General features: G+C 45.3%; 1 long non-coding RNA gene across 4 annotated transcripts in view, besides 2 other annotated features; it reads left to right on the top strand.

Moving 5' to 3' along the window:
- CCR5AS (CCR5 antisense RNA) overlaps positions 1-22,037 on the top strand; it is a 43,083-nt gene that overhangs the window by 2,684 nt on the left and 18,362 nt on the right. Inside the window, exons 2-3 of one of the 4 annotated variants that reach the window (NR_185893.1) lie at positions 11,331-11,558; positions 16,251-16,660. The exons of 1 other annotated variant lie outside the window; for it this stretch is intronic. This is a non-coding gene — a long non-coding RNA (CCR5 antisense RNA). Of the gene's footprint in view, positions 1-11,330; positions 11,559-16,247; positions 16,661-22,037 lie in introns of those variants that run through there. 2 more of the 4 variants (NR_185892.1, NR_125406.2) reach the window with 2 other exon arrangements.
- Positions 10,650-10,699: a silencer, noted in NCBI's record as "silent region_14289". NCBI's record gives its function as "represses an Ori minimal core promoter by ATAC-STARR-seq in GM12878 lymphoblastoid cells {active_cell/tissue: GM12878}" and the evidence as "EXISTENCE:reporter gene assay evidence [ECO:0000049][PMID:35858748]".
- Positions 11,022-11,521: an enhancer, noted in NCBI's record as "H3K27ac hESC enhancer chr3:46434353-46434852 (GRCh37/hg19 assembly coordinates)". NCBI's record gives its function as "activates a minimal SCP1, AML or CMV promoter by ChIP-STARR-seq in primed H9 embryonic stem cells {active_cell/tissue: H9 hESC(primed)}" and the evidence as "EXISTENCE:reporter gene assay evidence [ECO:0000049][PMID:30033119]".

The raw sequence follows: 22,037 nt of genomic DNA, 5'->3' as shown, positions 1-22,037 counted from the left end.
GGCCTGGGTGACAGAGTGAGACTCCATCTTAAAAAAAAAAAAAAAAAAAAAAAAAGAGAGAGAGAGAGAGAGAGAGAGAGAGAGAAAGCCTTGCTGAGAAGATGGGCACTAAAGCCACAAATGGTTGGGTCCAATAGTTCATGATCATTGTCTCATTCTTTCTTGTCACTAAGTTCTTATATCAGGGAGGTTGAAAACACACACTGGGTGATAACCTTAGCAATAATTTTACCGAAGACGCAGACATATTCTTCTTAATATATTGACCCTCAATAAAAAAGGCAAAGGATGTGAGGCTCCAGTTACTGATTTATCGCCTTTCAGCTCTTCATTCACTCTTCTGTGTTCTGCTTTGTGAGTCTAGAGCTGGACCCCATAAACATTTCTCCTTTGCCAGTTGCTGTAGAAGGCATAAGAGGGTCGCAGTAAGAGGCAGAGTTTTTTCTTTCTGGTTCTGGGATTTGTTTTTATTTTGTTTTTGTTCTTTTGGCTGATTTGCCAGTGCTGGGTGGAGACCCTGCAGTGCCCACTCCTCAGTGAATTTTGCCGACACCACGACAGTGGCTTCCTGCTGACTTTTGCTGGCACCCTACTGGGTAGCTTCCTAGTAAATTTTGCTGGCACTCCAAGAGCGTCTTCCTCGCCAGAGGCATGCCCACATTCTTGGGAATCTCACTGGTACCCCTTCGGGCAGTTTCCTGCTCAGCAGCCCCAACCTGCCACAACTCTGCAAACTTCTTGGGCATCCATTGGGTTGCAGCCACACCCCCTCCAACAAGGGTGGATCAGCTGGGGAGGGAGGGCATTTTTTGAGTTCGCCCCTTCCTTGGCTGCTGTGCCTTAGCTTAGAGGTTATGGCTGCTCTCTACATCTGCCATTCCTGCATTCTTCAGCATTCTCCTTACCCCCTTTAGTAGTTCATACCCTTTTATAAGTTAATAACTCATTATATTTAATGTTCATGTGTGGTTTCTGTCTTGACTGTATGCTGATTGATACACACAACATTAAATTTAGTTCAGGGAAGGGATGGGGAAATGCTAGGATGATGCCTTTTTTAGAGATCTAACTTGATCTTGAGAAATAGGTATTAGATCAAAGAGCTAAAAACAGAAATCCCATTACTGGGTATACACCCAGAGGAATATAAATCATTCTACCATGAAGACACACGCATGTGAATGTTCATTGCAGCACTATTCACAGTAGCAAAGACATGGAATAAACCTAAATGCCCATCAATGACAGATTAGATAAAGAAAGTGTGGTACATATACACCATGGAATACTATGCAGCCATGAAAAGAACGAGATCATGTTTTTTTGTGGAAACACGAATGGAGCTGGAGGCTATTACCCTTAGCAAACTAACACAGGAACAGAAAACCAAATACCTTGTATTCTCACTTATAAGTGGGAGCTAAATGATGAGAACACATGAACTCAAAGAAGGGAACAACAGACACCGGGGTCTACTTGAGACTGGAGGGCGGGAGGAGGGAGAGGAGCAGAAAAGATACCTATTGAGTACTGGGCTTGATAGCTGAGTGATGAAATAATTTGTACAACAAACCCTCATGACAAAAGGTTACCTACGTAACAAGCTTTCACATGTACCCCAGAACCTAAAATAAAAGTTCAAAAAATTATTGTTTAAATGCATAATAACAAATTTGGAAAATTTCAAAAAAAGAGAAATAGGTATTAGAATGTTTAGACTGATGATAATTTAATCTGTCCCTTACTATGGCTTCTTCAAATATAATCTTTCTTAGATTATCAATTAGTCAATCCATCTATCTAATTTTTATTAGCAAATAAAATGTTACAGAAAATTTGTATAGAGAAAAACTATGATAGTGATAATCTCACATAATAGCCATTATAAGTTTTAAATACCACTGCTTCTTAATGGGAAATGTAGAAAAACTACTTTTAGAAAACAATCAATTTTCTTCTGAATTAGTTGTTTGATATTGAGTAGTAGATCAAAGAGGTAAATAATGGCATATAATTTTAAGGCTTCGGAGACCATCTTATCCTGCCCCCAGATTTTCTTTCCCATAATTGGCTGATCCCTAAAATTCCACCTCAGTACCCAATAATTAGTAGCTGTGATACCTGGGAGGGCAGATAATATTTCTAAAATACAGCTGTGTTGATAATCCACCCTGGAAATACAGATTTTATATGTACTTACTGGGAGTGAAATAGTGTTGACTATTCCCTAAAGCAGTCTTTCTCAATGCATGTTGAGTTTATTCCGCAGTATGCTAAAAAGTGTAAAAAAAAGGATGGGAGGCTATTGCTCATTTAAGTTTGAAAAATTGCTGGACTAAAAAACTAAAGCAAGTTTCTTTACTACAGGACTTCTCAGAGCCCTTCATATACTAATAGGCATTATGATCCTTCATGAGGAAGAAAGGGTATGGAGTGTTTCCCAAAATGTTTTGATCATGAAACCCCTTTTAAAATTTTCATACAGGTACTTATAGGCTAAAAGTTCAGTGAGTATATTCTGAGAAATGCTTCCTTAGACATACAAATACTACTGTGTGGTCTAGTAATAATAAATAAATAAATATATTATTAATTAAATTAATAAATTAATATTATTAATTAAATTAATAATAAATAAATATTACTGTGTGGTCTAGTGCACCTCCTGCCCCAGCTCTGAGGGAGCCTAATTGACTGAGGGGCCCAGCTGCTGCACTCTGAGACCCATGTCTGCGTTCATGCCAAGGCTGTGCCCTCCGTGGGCTGCTCCCACTCCATGACACTATTAGGGACACTATGATAGGCCCATCCCTTGGAGAGGGACTCCTCTGATGGGTGCCTTTGGCACATGCTTCAGCCAAACCTTGCGTCATTCCCCATCTCCTTCACTTGGAGTCAGACCTGCTTGTGATCTCATGGCTTTCCCAGCTTCTCCTGGCTCCCTTTGCAGTCCTGCAAATGTCACAGACATTTCCTCTATTATACTTCTTGTATGCCAGACCCCACCTTGGGTTCTGTATCTTGAAAGATTTGGACTAACATAGTCTTGGAAGGAAGGGCATCATTTTCTAGAGTCTTGAGTCCTTTGCTTACCATGAAGTAATACACTTTGCAGCATTTCGATCCCTTTCTTCTTACCTCCCATTTTCCTGTGGCCTGCGTGGACCAATCCTTTTGGAACACATAAAGCCACTTAATTCCATCATATTCCCATTCTGTCATGTTTGGCCAACTCCTCAGCTCATATGACTTTTTCTATTCCTCGTTCTTTGATTTGTGCTTCCTCTGCCCTAATCTCACCTCCCAATATTCCACTTTCTCCCACGCTTTTCCTCTGTGTCTCTGGAACCTGAATTCTGACAATTTCCCTGACATCTTTGATTTATGCCAAAAACATTCGCACCATCTCCTGTCCCTTGAGGATACTCCTTCCCTCTCACATCTGTCTCAGATTTGGGAGTCAGAAGGTGACATCCTTGGCCTCGGTGCCATTTTTTGGCTATTAATTCCCTTCTAGATATAAAGGAGACTGCTGTGGGCTCCACTTCTCCAACTACATTGCTCTCTGCTCCACCTCACTGCTATCATCCACTGACTGCCTGGTTGCCCCTATTTTATTCAAGACTTGTGCACATGGATAAGGGGCTTCTATTCACCCCAGTTTCCCACATCATCCTGGTGGCTTAGTTGTCCATGTGGACCCCCATCTGGTGCCCAAGTCTCAGCTCATTAACTCAACTCCCTGGCCTTCGGTTTCACTCCACTAGTGCCCAGCTGAGGTTTGTTAACATTGATTTACCACTGAATTCTCACAATAAAATTTCTCACTTTTCTGATGACAACTTTTACTCCTTTGGTTTCTCTCACTCCATTTATTCTTTGTGTAATATGTGTTGTTCATCAAGCCTTCCAGCCTCTGACTATCAGCCCCTCCCACGATCACATCCCTCTTTATCTAGCTGAGATCCAGTAGTCTGCCACTTAGTCATTCTCTTGTCAACACCCTGACCTCTCTTGAAGCCCCAGCCTTAGATAAATTATCCTCTACATTTTTTCTTTGAGTGTGTGTTTCCGAGAACAGCTGTTTAAAACCACTTAGCAGCCGGGCTCAAGCTTGTAATCCCAGCACTTTGGGAGGCCGAGGTGGGCAGATTACTTGAGCCCAGGAGTTCAAGACCAGCTTGGGCAACATGGCGAGACCCTGTCTCTACAAATGTACAAAATATAGCTGGGAGTGGTGGTGTGTGTCTGTAGTCCCAGGCCCGGGAGGCTGGGGTGGGAGGATTGCTTGAGCCCGGGAGGCAGAGATTGCATTGAGCTGTGATTGTGCTACTACTACTACACTCCAGCCTGTGTGACAGAGTGAGACCCTGTTTCAAAAAAATAAAAATAAGTAAAACCGCTTAGCTATGTGGACAAGATACATTGGTAATTTAAGATCTTCAACTAGCTTCCAGAGATTCTTCTAGATTCCCTGATAGCTGTTCTGAGTGTGACAAATTGTCACTTTATCCAATTTTTCCATCAACTATTTCAAGCTACCTAAAGCTTCCAGTCTCTTCACCCCCGTTCTAATGACTCCCATTTACTCTCAGGAAATGATCTCATCTTCTGCTTTTCTCAGAACTCCTCAACTCCTCAGGCCCCAACTTCAAATGCAACTGTGGTATGTCTACATTTTTCCTCTCTCCATGGACAGAGTTGCTCCTCTAACACCAAAGGCTAATCTCTCCCCCTGCACTCTGGATCTCATTCCGTTTAACCTTCATCATTTTTTCCCACATTTTCTTTGAGTCCCAACTTTTTCCTCTCTATTAGATTATTCAGAATTTTTAAATGCTCAGATCTGTCCCTTAAATAAAGATTACAAACCCACTTTGACCTCAAACATTGGTCAGACCATTTACTGTCTCTTCTCCCCCTCTTCCAGGCAGTTTCACTAGTTGTCCAAACTCTGTTTCTACTTCATCACTGCTCATTCCCTACTCTACACCCTGCAGCCTGGCTTCTGCCCCCACCATTCCACTGAGATTGGTCTCCCTGGGTTCACCCACACATCCTTGTTTAAATGTAATCAGCTGCTGGGGCAGCTAATGCATCAAGTGCCCATGAACAGGAAGTGTCCAGGATCTCCCGGCTCTCCATTACTACAGACAATAACAACAACAAGACGCAGACATCAGTCCAGCCCACAAACACCATTACATTTAGAGATTCCCAAGCTGAAGTGGTGCTTAAGATTTTTTGACACCTGTTAAAATGTTATAGAATCTAAAAACATTAATACAGGACTTTGCAGTGAAGATGACAGTGTAGTGTAGATGAAGATGAGTAAAGCAGGATAGCAGACTCTTCCCTCCTCTAATATCTCAATGACCAAAAACTAGTTTTAAAACTATAACATCTGCTGGCAGCAACTGAACAAGAAATAGGGCACAATCTTACATCAAAACGTTGAAACATGGTGCTTTAGAGATATGCCTAAACCCAATCCTACTGGGTTTCCCAATCCTATGGAATAAAGAAGGAAAATAAAGAAATCCTGAGAATTGTCTAATACTCTCCAATCAGGAGACAAGTGGCCTTGGGGGGTGAATATGCATTCCTAGAAAGAAAAGAAAAATATTTCTTCAGTTTGACTTGAAAAAATGGAAAAAATTAAAAAAGAAAAAAAGACAAGAAAAAAGAATTTAAAAAACCCTATTGAGTTAAAGCTCCTACATTACAGAGGGTAGAAGGGTTTCTAGGACTTTTCATAGACCAGGACAATGTGCTGAGTTAGGACAATAAGACAAATTCCAAAAGAGTAAGACACCCTTGTATATACCGAATTGGCTCTGGTATAAAATTTGTTGCTTTTTTTGGATTTTGATTTTTTATAAAAACAATTTTAATAAAGTAATGATTTCATCAAATCTTTAAGGGTTATACTAGTGCGTGGAGCTTCTTAGAGGTATACAGAGGTTTATTAGCTCTGCCAGCTATCACTCAAGGTGATCCATTTCCTTGTGTGCCTTGCAGTTTCAATGTGAGTGTGTCTTGACTGGGGATTATTTTCTCTGCAGTAGCTTTTCATGGCTTGAAGTGGGAGCACTCCTTTCCAGAGGAGTTTTGAGTTTGTTTCAGCCGGGAACATTGAGGGCATCAATGGCCTGATATGAATTTTCCGCGCCTGGGTTTTGGGGTCTTCCATTTTGAGGGTATTATAAACCTGTGCATGAAGCACAGGATTTGTAGTCTCAGAGATTTTTCCCATACCACTTAAAGCCTAGGCAAAAATAGATAAGTGTTTGTGTTTTCCTCTGCCTGTGGGTGAATTTCTTCTAGTCCCCCTTTTCCCAAGTGCTAGATTTACATCAGGATCTCTCAGTTCCGGCTCCACATACCCCATAGGCTTCAGCCTTGCTGTCTGCCCCGTGTCGGAGTTACACGGACATGGCCTTTTTGATGCATGTGGGCTTTGATTTGTCTGCACCAGACAGTGACCGAAATGATCTCTTTCCATTGAGTAGCGTTTCAATGACCGTTTGTTGTAAAATGTGGTTCCTTTATTCATCTCATAGATATTTAGTGCCCACTGTCTTATAAATCTTCCTTTTGCCCTTCCATATCCATTCTCCACTCTCTACCCAGCTTTATTCTGGGGGATGCTCACCTTATTAACAGCAGGCTCCCCTGTCTTTCAGTTTTCAGTTGTGTTTGGCTGATGGGGAATTTTAGGCAGAAGATTGGAGAGCAAGGTCAGGGGAGTCAGGCCCTGGCTCCCTCCTGATGGGGTCTAGTGGGCTGATGTGTCCCTTGACGTAAGGGCAGCTCTTGTCAGGCAGCTCCCTCCCCTTGCCCTGTCTGGCCTTGCAGTGGGAATAGTGCCCTGCTCTCACTGGCACCAGGCACTGCACTGTGTATTGTGGCCTCCCTATACCTTGTCCAAATTTTTGTATAGAATCCTTCATTAAACTCACCTCAGTTGCCCTACTTAAGTGTGCCGTTTGGCTTCTGCCAAGCTCCTGAAGGACACCTCTCCCAAGTCCCAGGAACTTTGCCAGACCCTGGGGAGAAAATAGTGAACAAAGTGGAACCGTCCTCTGTCCTCGTGGCACTGGCATTCTAGAGGGAGATTCAGGTACGGAACTGACTATAATTCAGGGAGTCATGTGCCAAGCTGGGGGAGCACACAGGAGCAGTGGGAGCTGTCCCAAGAGCACCCGGCCTGGCTCACGAGAGGCAGGGGAAGGATTCCCAGGGTAGGTGTTACCTCAGTCAAGGGCGCATGGATGGGAGCCGGCCAGGTGAGGTGTGGGCCTCTTGCCCCCACTCCTCCTTTCCTCCTAATGTCTGCTTTTCAGGTTCTTGAGGGACCACCTACTTGTCAGAGATGGGGCAAGAAAAGAGAGAGTGATAGAATTCAAGGTGGTGACATTTTATTATTTATTAGCACCTGTGACTGAGTCTTAGTGAAAGAGAAAATTGAAACCAAATGCCAGACTATTTTAGGCTGGATTCCTGGGAATCCAGGGCTCAGGCTCTCTGAGAAGGAGAGTTGTATGCAGCAGACTTGTGGGGAGGGCTTCCAGGAGACACAATTGGAAAGGAGAGAACAAGACAGGACCAGGCAGAGGGAGAAGCTGCCCACGTGGTCACAGAGGAGGCCTCAGTTATTCCTACAAGGAATTAGGAATTGAGGGGAGGGCGCTAGGCCTCTGCAATCCAACATTAGCCAGTCATTGGCTCAGCCATCCCTGGGAAGGGGGCATTGCCTGGGCAGGCAGCTCCAGTTCCCAGAAAGGGGAGTAGATCTGAGTTCCAGCACCTCTGTTCCCATCTATGGGAGTGGGAGCATGGAGAGATGCATTGGCTTGAAAAGGGCATCTGGGCAGAGTCTCACAGTATCCACTGTACAGGTGGAAGGTTCTGAATTTCCTGCAAATTTCATTTACTCTGAATGATAGAAAATGGAAACAGAAATTTCTAAAGCCACAATGTCACAAGACCGTGGAACCCACATGTGGGCACACTGAAGGAGGAAGTCACGTGCACAGGAGGCCACACTGCCCACTCACTCCCTTAAACTATGCTGCTGGGGACTCATCCATCATCATTGGAGTGTGAAGTGCCCAGTTTTCACAGGGTCAGTCGAGTTGGGCAGACACTGGTCTGATATGAATCATCTTAAATAGATAAGAAACGTTTCTTTTATGAATAGAGGTAAAAATTAATACACAAAGTAGCATCCTCATTTAAAAAATATTCCCTTTAGTAAAATTAAATGACACATTGTAACTGTGCAGGAAAGGGTTTGGTCCTGGTCTTCAGTCTGGGTGGTGAGGCCCCTAAGCTGGGGACTGTGAAGGCCCTGCTTCTTCCTGCTCACGTCTCCCCCAAGGACAGTCCCAGAGTCTCCACAGAGGCTCCAGAGCCTCTTCCTTCCCAGGACCCACAACCTCCTAGCACTTGACTGGAGCCAGCTCCTACATCTGCACAGAGTCCACGGTTCCCATCTCAGCCACACCTTCTGGAAAGGGTCTTGGAAAGGGCCCCTTCCCTATCTGGTAAACCAGGACCTTCAACTTCAGAGGCTGGTCCTGTCCTCTCAGGAGAGCCCAGGGCTTGGGGGCAGAACCAGGACCTTCAACTTCAGAGGCTGGTCCTGTCCTCTCAGGAGAGCCCAGGGCTTGGGGGCAGAAGTTGTGCTTTTCTAGGCGGAAGGAGGGAACATTACTTTGTATTCCTTTGCCATGAGTGGGCAGAGGAGGAGACCAGGCAGGAGTTACAAAGTCTTTCTGCATTCCGATTGCATCACAGGGTTCCATGGATGTTTTTTCCACTCTTACCTTACTCTATGTCTCTGCAACATTTGACGTTGCTGACACTTCCTCTTACTCCCACAGCCCTCTCTCCCACAGCCAATCCCCCGGATTTGGCTCTTTCTTGGCACATCTCCTCACTGTTCTTTAGGGCTCCCTTTGCTGCCTGCATTCCTCCGGGTTCTGCTTGAGCTATTGAGTCCACCCCTACGGCATCCACTGCCTGTGACCCCAGATGTCGATCTCTACTCAGTCACTCTGCTGAGTTCAGTGTCAGCACATCCAGCTTCCCCTGACACTGCCACCTGGAGGTCCCCCAGGATATCCAACTCAGCCTGTCCTGAAAACCAAACTAATTGACCCACATCCTAAAACCAGTGCTCCCCATTTCAATGGGCCAAGACCCAAGCCTTGATCATATGCCTCCCTAAAAGTCCTGATAATCCAAGTCCTCCCTTGAGCCCTCAGAGCCATTAACTTCTCTCCAGTCAGGGCTTTCCTACCTTGGAAGAGGCCTCTGCTATATTCTGGAGAGAGCATTGCCAAACCTCCACCTAGGGGCTCTCCTCCATTCTTGCCTTCTTCCAATACAGTCTCCACATCGCCAGGGGCAATCCGAAGTTCAAAATAGGAATCTACTCCCTATCTTGAAACTCCTCTCCACCCATGCCATGGGCCCACACTCCTCAGTGCCCACGGTGTGCAAGGCCATCCCCACCTGTCCTCTCCTTCCCAGGTTCCAGCCCCATTTCTTTCTGCTCCCTTCTCACTTTCTGCTCTCAAGATGCCACTTACCATTTCCTGAAGTTTCTTTCTTCCTACATTTTCTCACACACCGTTTCCACAGAAATTCCTCCATTCCTGTCACGTACACTTTTCCTTGTAATTTCTCCTGTGTGAGAGACCCCACCCCATTCCAGATACAAACAAGCTGGGAAAGACACTGAGAAGTGCTGGAATCTCAGGACGTCTCGCTGGCTGGGGGATGTGAGACATGTTCTCCAGGTGTGCACGCGCCACTGGGGAGGCTTGAGAGAGTGGTGTTCTGGCCCCTGGTGGGACTCACGATGGGCATTTGGGAAGGCAGTGGAAATGGTAGAGTGACAGGAATGAGTGGGTGAAGAAAGAGAGAGTGCTTGTGGACAGCCTGACTCTCCTGTGGCCATGCTAAGAATCCTGAATGTTCCACAAGTCTGGAGTAAGTCGCCGAAATCTGCCAGGAGCCTGTAGCAGCCCCTGACATGCCCCAGAGCCCTCCTTGATGAGGATACAGTAAGGAGGAAGCACTAGAGCAGGGCTCCTCAGCCACAGCCCTGTTGATGTTCTGGATGGGTAGGTTTTTGTTGCTGGGGATTGTCCTGAGTGTTCCAGGATGTTGAGGTGCATTCCTGACCTTCACCCACTAGATGCCAGCAGCACTGTGCCCTCAGCTGGGACAACTAAAATGTCTCCAGATAACACTGATGTCTCCTGGTGGAACTGTCATCCTCTGCTGAGAACTGAAACGCTGGAATTAGTAACTGTGGGGTGGGAGAAGGGAAAAAGATTGGCTGGGGAGCACTGAACAGAAAAGGAATCCTACGCATCTTGCATTTGACTGAAAAATCACGGGGCTGGATTGAACATGTTAGGAAGGATTAAATGGGTTCTAGAAAAAGTGCAGTTCAGGAGGGAAAATGTTGTTTGGTTATAAAATGGTTTCATTTGTGCCGATTTAACCCTGAGATATCAGAAGGCTCATTCTTGGTTCTCAGGTTTTAGCTGAGCCACACCACCTGCAGGAAGCCAGCTCTGATAGCCCAGCATGGGGCCTGGAAGCCCTCCTATGTGTTCTGGAGCACGTGTCACTCTATGTTGCAATTGCCTCTTGACCTCTCTGGCTCCTATCTGCATACTCTTACCTCATTCCTTGAATACAAGAATTTGTGCGCTGTTGTAACCCTAGCACCAGCATACTTGCTTCTCAATAAATATCTGTTGAATGAATGAATAATTTTCAGTGCAATTCCCTTGAATTAGTGACACTTTTCCCTATAATTTTTTACTAAATTCTTGGTGGAAAAAAAATTTTTTTTTCTTCTTCTTTTTTTTTCTTTTCTTTTCTTTTCTTTTTTTTTTGTGGCTCTGTTGCCCAGGCAGGAGTGCAGTAGTGTGATCTTGGCTCACTGCAGCAACCTGTCAGGCCTCTGAGTCCAAGCTAAGCCATCATATCCTCTGTGACCTGCACATATACATCCAGATTGCCTGAAGCAACTGAAGAACCACAAAAGAAGTGAAAATAGGCCGCTCCTGCCTTAACTGATGACATTCCACCATTGTAATTTGTTCCTGCCCCACCCCAACTGATCAATTGACCTTGTGACATTCCTTCTGGACAGTGAGTCTCAGGAACTCCCCACCGAGCACCTTGTGACCCCTGCCCTTGCCTGCAAGAGGACAACCCCCTTTAACTGTAATTTTCCATTACCTACCCAAATCCTATAGAACCACCCCAACCCTAACTCCCATTGCTGACTCCTTTTTCAGACTCAGTCTGCCTGCACCTACATGATTAAAAAGCTTTATTGCTCACACAAAGCCTGTTTGGTGGTCTCTTCATATGGATGCGCATAACATTTGGTGCCGAAGACCCCGGACAGGGTGACTCCTTCGGGAGATTGGTCCCCTCTCCTCACCCTCACTCCATGAGAAGATCCACCTACGACCTCAGGTCCTCAGACCAGCCCAAGGAACATCTCACCAATTTCAAACCGGGTAAGCGGTCTCCTCACTCTCTTCTTCAGCCTCTCTCCCTACCCTTCAATCTCCCTGTCCTTCAAATTCCAGTTCTTTTTCCTCTCTAGTAGAGACAAAGGAGACACATTTTATCCATGAACTCAAAAACTCCAACATGGATCATGGATTTGGGAAGACAGCCTTCCTTTGGTGTCTGATCATCATGGGGACACCTACCTTGATCTTTCACCCACATTCCATTTGGTGTCTGATCACCGGGGGGATGCCTGCCTTGGTCATTCACCCACATTCCCTTGGTGGTAAGTCAATTGCTGGGACACCAGCTTTGGCTGCTAACCCACATGACAGCCCAGGGCTGCTCACCTCCCCCCTTCTCCATGTCTCTACCTTTCTCTTTAAACTTACCTCTTTCACTATGGGCAACCTTCCACGCTTCATTCCCCCTTCTTCTCCCTTAGCCTGTGTTCTTAAAACTTAAAACACCTTTGACTAACACCTGACCTCTCCAAGTTGGCACCAGAGTGGGGTAATTTTAAGGGGCTTATAAGCCTGGCCATCAATACCCACAACAGTTATGGAGGCAAGGGAAACAGGCCCTTGAAAAGAAGGTAATGTGGAGTGGGTAGCTCCCATATTGATTAAGAAGGGCATGGACTTGGACAACATTCTTTTATGCACTCTTTTAAAAACCTAAACATCTTATTTTCTTCTGTAATACTGCTTGGCCCCAATACAAACTTGACAATAGTTCCAAGTGGCCAGAGAATGACACTTTCGATTTATCCATCCTACAAGATCTAGATAATTTTTGTCGTAAAATGGGCAAATGGTCTGAGGTGCCTGACGTCCAGGCATTCTTTACACATCAGTCCCTCTCTAGTCTCTGCTCCCAATGTGACTCATCCCAAATCTTTCCTCTTTCTCTCCTGTCTGTTCCTTCAGTCTCCACCCCAAGCTCTGAGTCCTTTGAATCCTCCTTTTCTACGGACCCATCTGATTTCTCCCCTCCTCCCCAGGCTGTTCCTCGCTAGGCCTAGCCAGGTCCCAATTCTTCCCCAGCCTCTGCTCCCCTACCCTATAAACCTTTGGTCACCTTCTCTCCTCACACCTGGTCTGGCTTACAGTTTCGTTCCACAACTAGCCCTCCCCCACCGGCCCAACAATTTCCTCTTAGAGAGGTGGCTAGAGCTAAAGGCATAGTCAAGGTTAATGCTCCTTTTTCTTTAGCTGACCTCTCCCAAATCAGTTAGCGTTTAGGCTCTTTTTCATCAAATATGAAAACCCAGCTGAGTCCATGGCCTGTTTGGCAACAACCCTTAGACACTTTACCTCTCTAGACCCAGAGGTGCCAGAAGGCCGTCTTATTCTCAATATGCATTTTATTACCCAATCTGCTCCTGACATTAGAAAAAGCTCCAAAAATTAGATTCCAGCCCTCAAACCCCACAACAGGATTTAATTACCCTCGCCTTAAGGTGTACAATAATAGAAAAGAGGCAGCCAAGTGACAACATATTTCTGAGTTGCAATTACTTGCCTCCGCTGTAAGAGAAACCCCAGCCACATCTCCAGCACACAAGAACTTCAAAACACCTAAACTGCAGGGGCCAGGCATTTCTCCAGGACCTCCTCCCCCAGGATCTTCCTTCAAGTGCCGGAAATCTGGCCACTGGGCCAAGGAATGTCCCATCTGTGCGAGACCCCACTGGAAATCAGACTGTTCAACTTGCCTGGCAACCACTCCCAGAGCCCCTGGAACTCTGGCCCAAGGCTCTCTGACTGACTCCTTCCCAGATCTTCTCAGCTTAGCAGCTGAAGACTGACACTGCCTGATCACCTCAGAAGCCTCCTGGACCATCACAGATGCTTTGGGTAACTCTTACAGTGGAGGGTAAGTCTGTCCCCTTCTTAATCAATACGGAGGCTACCCACTCCACATTACTTTCTTTTCAAGGGCCTGTTTCCCTTGCCTCCATAACTGTTGTGGGTATTGTCGGCGAGGCTTCTAAACCGCTTAAAACTCCCCCACTCTGGTGCCAACTTGGACAACATTCTTTTATGCACTTTTTTAGTTATCCCCACCTGTCCAGCTTCCTTAATAGGCTGAGACATTTTAACCAAATTATCTGCTTCCCTGAGTATTCCTGGGCTGCAGCCACATCTCTTTGCTGCACTTTTACCCAACTCAAGACCTGTTTCACATCCTCCCCTTGTATCTCCCCACCTTAATCCACAAGTATAAGATACCTCTACTCCTACCTTGGCAACCGATCATGCACCCCTTATCATCCCATTAAAATGTAATCACCCTTACCCCGCTCAATGCCAATATCCCATCCCACAGCAGGCTTTAAAAGGGTTAAAGCCTGTTATCACCTGCCTGTTTCAACATGGCCTCTTAAAGCCTACAAATTCTCCTTACAACTCCCCTATCCTACCCGTCCAGAAACCGGACAAGTCTTACAGGTTTGTTCAGGATCTTCGTCTTGTTGATCAAATCGTCCTTCCCATCCATCCTATAGTGCCAAACCCGTACACCCTCCTATCTTCAATACACCCTTCCACAACTCTATTCTGTTATCGACCTCAAAGATGCCTTCTTTACTATCCCCTTGCATCCCTCCTCCCAGCCTCTTTTTGCCTTACTTGGACTGACTCTGACACCCACCAGTCCCAACAACTCACCTGGATTTTTCTACCCCAAGGCTTCAGGGACAGCCCACATTACTTTGGCCAGGCCCTTTCTCATGATCTGCTTTCTTTTCACCCATCTACCTCCCACCTTATTCAATATGTTGATGATCTTCTTCTTTGCAGCCCCTCTTACCAATCTTCCCAGCAGGACACTAGCCTGCTTCTTCAACATCTTTACTCAAAGGGGTACAAAGTATTGCCCTCTGAGGCACAAATTTCTTCCCCTAGCATTACCTATCTTGGTATAATGCTCCATCAACATACACATACCCTTCCTGCAGACTCTGTTCAGTTAATCTCCCAGACCCCAACCCCCACCACCAAACAACAACTCCCTTCCTTCTTAGGCATTGTTGGATATTTCCAACTTTGGATACCGGGCTTTGCTATCCTAATCAAACCACTTTACTAGCTCACAAAGGGTAATTTAACTAATCCCATAGACCATAAGTCTTTTCCCCATTCTTCCTTTCACTCTCTCAAAAAGGACCTGGAGACAGCTCCCACACTAGCACTCCCCGACTCGTCCCATCCTTTTTCCTTACACACAGCTGAAATACAAGGCTGTGCTGCTAGAGTCCTCACACAGGATCCAGGCCCACGACCTGTTGCCTTTATCTTCCAGTCCTCCAGCAGGCTAGACAGGAAATTCGCCAGGCTGCTAATCTTCTCTTGCCTCCTCCAAACTCCCAGCCATGTGAAGATACCTTAGCTGGGCAATCAGTCCTTGTCAAGTCTGACCCCTCACACTCTACAGCTTTGATGGACTGGACCCTACCTGGTCATTTATAGCACCCCAACTGCCATCCGTCTGCACGACCCTCCCCATTGGATTCACTGTTCCAGAATAAAGCTGTGCCCATCAGACAGCCAGCCTGATCTCTCCTCTTCCTTCTGGAAGTCGCAAGTACTCACCCCTACTTCCCTTAAACTCACTCGCATTTCTGAAGAACAATAATAACCCTTATGAGCCTAATACATCTCTTCATTCTATTAAGTCTATTTATCCTTACCCTACTTTTTGCAACAGAGCTCTACGCAGTCACCCCCACTATTTGGACTGTGCCCCCAAAATTTGTCATCTCCACTATCTTCTGTCTAGTCATACTCCTATTCACCATTCTCAATGACTCATAAATGCCCTGCCCCTGTTTACACTGCCAGTTTACACTTTTCCTCCAAACCATCATAGTGGATATCTCCTGGTACTATCCCCAATCCGCCACTCTTGACTCCCTCTTGGAGTGGACAGATGATCTTTGCTGACAGGGCACCCTCCAATACTTTCACCCTGATGAAGTTCTATTCTTTACTTTTATACTCACTCTTATTCTCGTTCCCATTCTTATGCCACCCTCTACCTCTCCTCAGCTATCTCCACCACACTATCAATCTCACTCACTCTCTCCTAGCCATTTCTAATCCTTCTTAACAAACAATTGCTTCCTTTGCATTTCTCTTTCCTCCAAAACTGCTGAGGCCTTGACTTACTCACTGCTGAGAAAGGAGAACTCTGTATATTTTTAAATGAAGAGTGTTGTTTTTACCTAAATCAATCTGGCCTGGCATATGACAACATAAAAAAAACTCAAGGATGGAGACCAAAAACTCACCAACCAAGCAAATAATTATGCTGAACCCCCTTGGGCACTCTCTAATTGGATGTCCTGGGTCCTCCCAGTTCTTAGTCCTTTAATGCCTGTTTTTCTCCTTCTCTTATTCAGACCTTGTGTCTTCCGTTTAGTTTCTCAATTCATACAAAACTGCATCCAGGCCATTACCAATCATTCTATATGAGAATTGCTCTTTCTAACAACCCCACAATATCACCCCTTACCACAAAATCTTTCTTCAGTTTAATCTCTCCCACTCTCTAGGTTCCTGTGTCACCCCTAATCCTGCTTGAAGCAGCCCTGAGAAACATCACCCATTATCTCTCCATACCACCCCCAAAAATTTTCGCTGCCCCAACATTTCATCACTATTTTGTTTTGTTTTTCTTATTAATATAAGAAGACAGGAATGTCAGGCCTCTGAGCCCGAGCTAAGCCATCATATCCCCTGTGACCTGCGCTTATACATCCAGATGGCCTGAAGCAACTGAAGAACCACAAAGAAGTGAAAATACCCAGTTCCTGCCTTAACTGATGACATTCCACCATTGTAATTTGTTCCTGCCCCACCCTAACTGATCAGTTGACCTTGTGACATTCCTTCTCCTGGACAATAAATCTCAGGAGCTCCCCACTGAGCACCTTGTGACCCCCGCCTGTACCCGCAAGAGGACAACCCCCTTTAACTGTAATTTTCCACTACCTACACAAATCCTATAAAACCGCCCCATCCCTATCTCCCTTTGCTGACTCTTTTTTCAGACTCAGTCTGCCTGCACCCACATGATTAAAAAGCTTAATTGCTCACACAAAGCCTGTTTGGTGGTCTCTTAACATGAATGCACGTAACACAACCACCTTCAGGGCTCAAGAAATCCTCCTTCTCTGCCTCCTGAGTAGCTGGGACTGCAGGTGCACACCACCACCCCCAGTTAATTTTTGTATTTTTTGTAGAGACGGGGTTTTGCCATGTTGCTCAGGCTGGTCTTGAACTCTTGAGCTCAAGCAATCCACTTGCCTCTAGCACCTAAAGTGTGGAGGGAGAACTACTTCATTCTGAGAATGTGGGAAAAGTGGGGACTTTGTGTCCATGTTACTTCAGGCACAAGTTGCAAGAAGAAGAGGATGGCTCAGGTTTGCCTAGCAATAAAGGACAGTGCTGGAAGACTGGTGGCATTGGTCATAGGAAAGAAGGAACTACCGGACATGTGGACTTGGAAAACACATGACCCAGGGCAGTTCTGTGATGGGACATCTTCCTTGGATGGTCATGGGTCTCCTTTCCAGGGCACTGCGTCTGTAGGGCTGCATCATGCTCACGATTTCTGGAAGCTAGGATCCGATTGACTCATCTTGGGTAGTACACACTTAGAATTCATAGTAGGAAGGGGGTATCTTTCATTTGTGTCCACCACAATGGTCCTTGAAGAAAGCTCTTTTTCCTCCACTTCCCTTATCTCTTCTCTCTTCTCTTCTTTTCTCTTTTCTTTCTTTATCTCTCTCTCAATTTTATTATGAAAATATTCAAATATTACATGGGCAGAAAATAGTATTAATATGTTAAATCTCCATATTCCCATCACTCAGTTTTAACAATTACAAACATATGACCAACACTGTTTCCTCTATGCTCCTCTCCCTTCCCTCTGCCTCTCACCCCACTGGATTATTTTAAAAAGAGTCTAAACATCATATAACTTAATCCACTAGTATTTTAGAGTGTATCCTTAAGAGATAAGGACTCTTTAGAAATAGCTACAAAAGCATTATTGTACCCCAAATTAAAGCATAATTAACATAATATTATATCTAGTCAGTGTTCAAATTTCTCCAGTTTTCTCAAAGATGTGCTTTCTCATTGGTTTGTTCTAACCTGGACATAAACAAGACCAGTGCTCTGCATTGCACTGTTAATGTGCAACAATTCCTTTCCCCCTGTCCCACCTTGGCCCCACCTTTTCCTGTAGAACTTTCTATATTCTGGATTTGGCTGGCTGTCTACCCTTGCTTTCTCACCATCTCACTGTCTCTGCCATAGTCCAGGCCTGGTCAGGCAGGGAGCTTGTGATTCCTCCTGCCCCTTCTCTGAGTCACTTCCCTTTGGTCTATGGACAGAAGGCTTTTTCTGAAAAAGCAAGTCTGATCATGCTGATACCAGTGGATTAGGGGAGGTCCCTAAACACTGGTGAGACGTTGACTGCACCTGGTGTCCAGGCTGTTGACGCTGTCACAAGAAGGAATTCAAGGACGAGTCAGAGAAAAGTGAAAGTAGAGAGATTTATTGCAGAGCAAAATGCACACACTCAAGAAATGGGAGTGTGGTCGGGTGGGGTGGCTCATTCCTGTAATCCTAGCACTTTGGAAGGTGGAGGCAGGCTGATCACCTGAGTCCAGGAGTTCAAGACCAGCCTGGGGAACATGGCAAGACCCTGTCTCTACAAAAAAAAATACAAAATATTAGCCAGGTGTGGTGGTGCACGTCTGTCCTCCCAGCTACTTGGGGGGCTGAGGTTGGAGGATTGCTTGAGCCTGGGAGGCAGAGGTTGCAGCGAGCCAACAAAGTGAGACCCTGTCTCAAAAATAAAATAAAATATGGTGAAACCCCATCTCTACTGAAAATACAAAAAATTAGCTAGGCGTTGTGGTGGGCGCCTGTAGTCCCTGCTGCTCAGGAGGCTGAGGCAGGAGAATGGCCTGAACCCTGGAGGCAGAGCTTGCAGTGAGCTGAGACTGCGCCACTGCACTCCAGCCTGGGTGACAGAACCAGACTCCATCTAAAAAATAAATAAATAAATAATAAATAAATAAATAAATAATAAAGGGAAGTGCAGGCATACTCAAGAGAGAGAGAGTTGCGCCCAGTAGGGTTTGGGGCTTCTACATTATGGGTTTCTTTAACCAAAGGATGGAATATTCATGAAGTTTCCTGAAAAAGGTAAAGATTTCTCAGAGCTGTGGTGCCACCCATTTTTACACCAAACATGAGTGTTCCAGGAAATGGAATGGCCCTGGTGGGTGTGTGATTTGGTATGTTATTGAGCATATAATGAGGTTCCAGGCAAAACCTAGGAGAAACTCAGCACCATATTGGATCCAGTTGCTTTTAACCAGCCTTGGCTCACACCCTGGTTCTCAGGTTCTTATTGACCCCTGGATTATGCAGCTATTTCAACAGTTTCCTTTTTTACTAGTCAAACTGCTGCCTGGAATCTTCCATTCTCCTGTGACCACCCTTATTATTCCTGTCTCAATACTACCATCTTGTTTAACACAGTTAGGGGGTGCCTGTGGCCTGTAGAATAAAAACTACACTTGACAGCTTGACATAGACATTGCAAACAGTAAGCATTCAATAAATGCTGAATTAACACGTGAATGGGGACTGTGGAGTGATAAATAGCTAATGCACTCGGGTACTGTGCTGGGGAGACTCCTTGTTCCCCTTCACCATATGCTTTGCTTCTGCTCCAGTGGAGGGCAGAGCAGAGGGGAGGGCTAGAAGGAGTACCTCCCAATCTTCTTGTCACTCCATACTGCCCACTGCTCCTGATCTCCTGCAGGAGGAATGCATGCACGCAGCCAGACACACACACCCACACTCACACCAGTGTCTGTCTGTCTGTCTATCTATCTATCTATCTATCTATCTATCTATCTATCTATCTATCTATCTATCTATCATCTATGTACCCTATCCATCTATCTACCTATCTATCATCTATCTCAAGTCAGCTGTGCTACTTTAGGCACCTGGACTATACCTTGCTTTATTTCACCTCTGCACATTTGCATAAGAGTTCCTACTCCTATGCTCCACTCAGTAGCTTCTAACTAATCCTTATTCAACTGCAGCAATGCTCTCTAGGATTTTTTCCTCCAGACCCCCATCCTTGGATTGGATAACTCATCCTCATCTGGCTCTCAGAGCCTTATCCCGACACTGTTCACAGTAACATAGGCATTAAAAAGAAATTTTTTTCTTTTTAACCTTGGTAAGGTTTTCCTTTTAATGAAAAGCAGCCCCCAAATCATTTCTTTTCTAGCAAAGAGCAACCTGTAAAATTGGGCTGCAGACATAGATAAGCAATCTGGAAGCTTGCAAGAGTGAATGCCGGCAGCTGTGCCAATAGGAAAAGACTATCTGGGGGCCAGGCATGTTCAACATGGATTCTTCATCTTCCCTTTTCTTTGTCAACCACGTGTACAGTAAGGAACAGACAACATGGCACCAGCCAGGTATAGACCCCGTCTGCGTAATAAAAGATTAGGATGGGATGGCCAGCTTCTTTGTATGCTATGTAAACATCACACCTGGTCTGACCAATCTCTCGGGTCCTAAGTAAATCAGACACCACTTCCTCAAGCTCGTCTATAAAATGCCTTGCATTTCACCACAAAACAGGAAGATCCACTCAGGTGCCCCTCTCTCTGTGCAGGCAAGAGAGCTATTCTTTTTTCTCTTTCTTTTGCCTATTAAACCTCTGCTCTTAAACTCACTTCTTGTGTGCCTGAGTCCTTGATTCCCTTGGCGTGAGACCACAAACCTCAGGTATTCACCCCAGACAATGATGCCACTTCAACAGTACTTTTCAAACTTTGCCTTTTTGCTTGCTTTTCTCTCTAAATAGTGAATTTCATAAGGACAGGGACTCTCTTTCATGGCATGAGTTGGCATCTGGCACATAGCTGGCCCTCCTTCAATGTTTGCTGAATCAATGAATGAATGCTGAATGTTGAGCTGCAGATGGTTAGTGCACAACTGAACTAGAGGGGAAGTAAGAACCCCCTTAGGGGTTTCTTTTGTTTCTGTTTCTGCTTGAAGGAGGACAGAAGCTCTGCCCAGTTTCCTCTCCTTCTCAGAGGACGGCTGGAGGAAACACTTCCCATCCCTCTCTTACCCCTGGCCATCCCTGGCCTCCACAGTAGGAGAGTGGCGGTGGGGTTTATTGGTTGCTCTCCTTTGCATAGGCACAGCTGAGGATGAGGGCCCCGGAAGTAGACTGAGGCGCGTGGTATGAAATCCTACTTGTTTCCTGTGCCTAAGCCACCCCTGCCCATGGGGCTTTGCCAGAACTTCTCATTGGGTTTTGCTTACCTAGCTCTTAACACGTTAATTCCTACTTGCTCTTCCTTGAGTGTAAGCTTCTGTCAGAGTCCAGAAGGAAGGGGTGGGGAATTGGCCTGCTGCCCTCACTCTCTCAGTTTGCTTTGAGCTATGGAGTCTACATCTGACCAGAATTATTGGTAGCAGGTTAATCCACCCTAAAAGGCTTTCAAAAGGAGCTACAGAAGACCAAGCAAATTGAACACAGTGCCATAAAGTTGTGAGGCCCTTTCCATCCATTACTTACAAAATCATGCTGTTGATTTCATACCCATGAGCCCCTGGCTGACTCTGGTCGGCCAGTGCTTCTCTCTCACTGCAGAGAGTGAGCTGGATTGCCCGCTATGTCTAAGTGCACTGTTTGGGGGAGCACATCCTAATCTGAAGAAGAAATAGCCATTATTAGCAAATTATTAAAGTGGCTAACTGTTACCAGAGCTTTTATGTGCCAGGCACTGTGTTAAGCCCTCAACATGCAATTTCTCATTTATCCTCTGAACAAACCTGTAAGGCAGATACTATTATTAGCCCCAATTACAGATTAGAAAGCTGAGGCTTGGAAACAGTAAGCAACTTGCATAGTAATTCAAATCTAGGAAACACTGATGCCAAAGTTCAAATTATATTAATATTTATTATTTATAATATGCCAGACTCACACTGTCTCCTACAGTAGCCATTGGCCACATTTAAATTAAATCATGGAAAACATTCAGTTCCTCAGTCACACTGGCCACATTTCACCCTGGCCTGGTGGCTACCATTTTGGATGATGCAGATACAAAGCATTCCCGTCATTACAAAAAAATTATATTGGATCTCCCTGGTCTAGATAATTTATACCCCAACACAACCCTGTCAGGTTGCTATTAGTAATGAAGCAGCATCATTTGTATGGGGTAATACACAAGGTTCGTTGCCTCATGCCAAGGAAATCAAGGATGCTAACACATGAGCAGTGAGTTTAAGAGCGGAAGTGTAATAGGCAAAAGAGAAAAGGTCTCTCGTGCAGGAGGGGGTTCCGAGTGGATCTCCCAGTTTCACGGTAAAATGCATGGGGTTTTATAGACTAACTTGAGGAGGCGG

The sequence above is a fragment of the Homo sapiens genome, chromosome 3, assembly GCF_000001405.40.
Source record: "Homo sapiens chromosome 3, GRCh38.p14 Primary Assembly".
NCBI classification, from domain to species: Eukaryota; Metazoa; Chordata; class Mammalia; order Primates; family Hominidae; genus Homo; species Homo sapiens.
The sequence above is the reverse complement of the archived record's forward strand: the minus strand, read 5'-3'. Positions and strand labels throughout refer to the sequence as shown.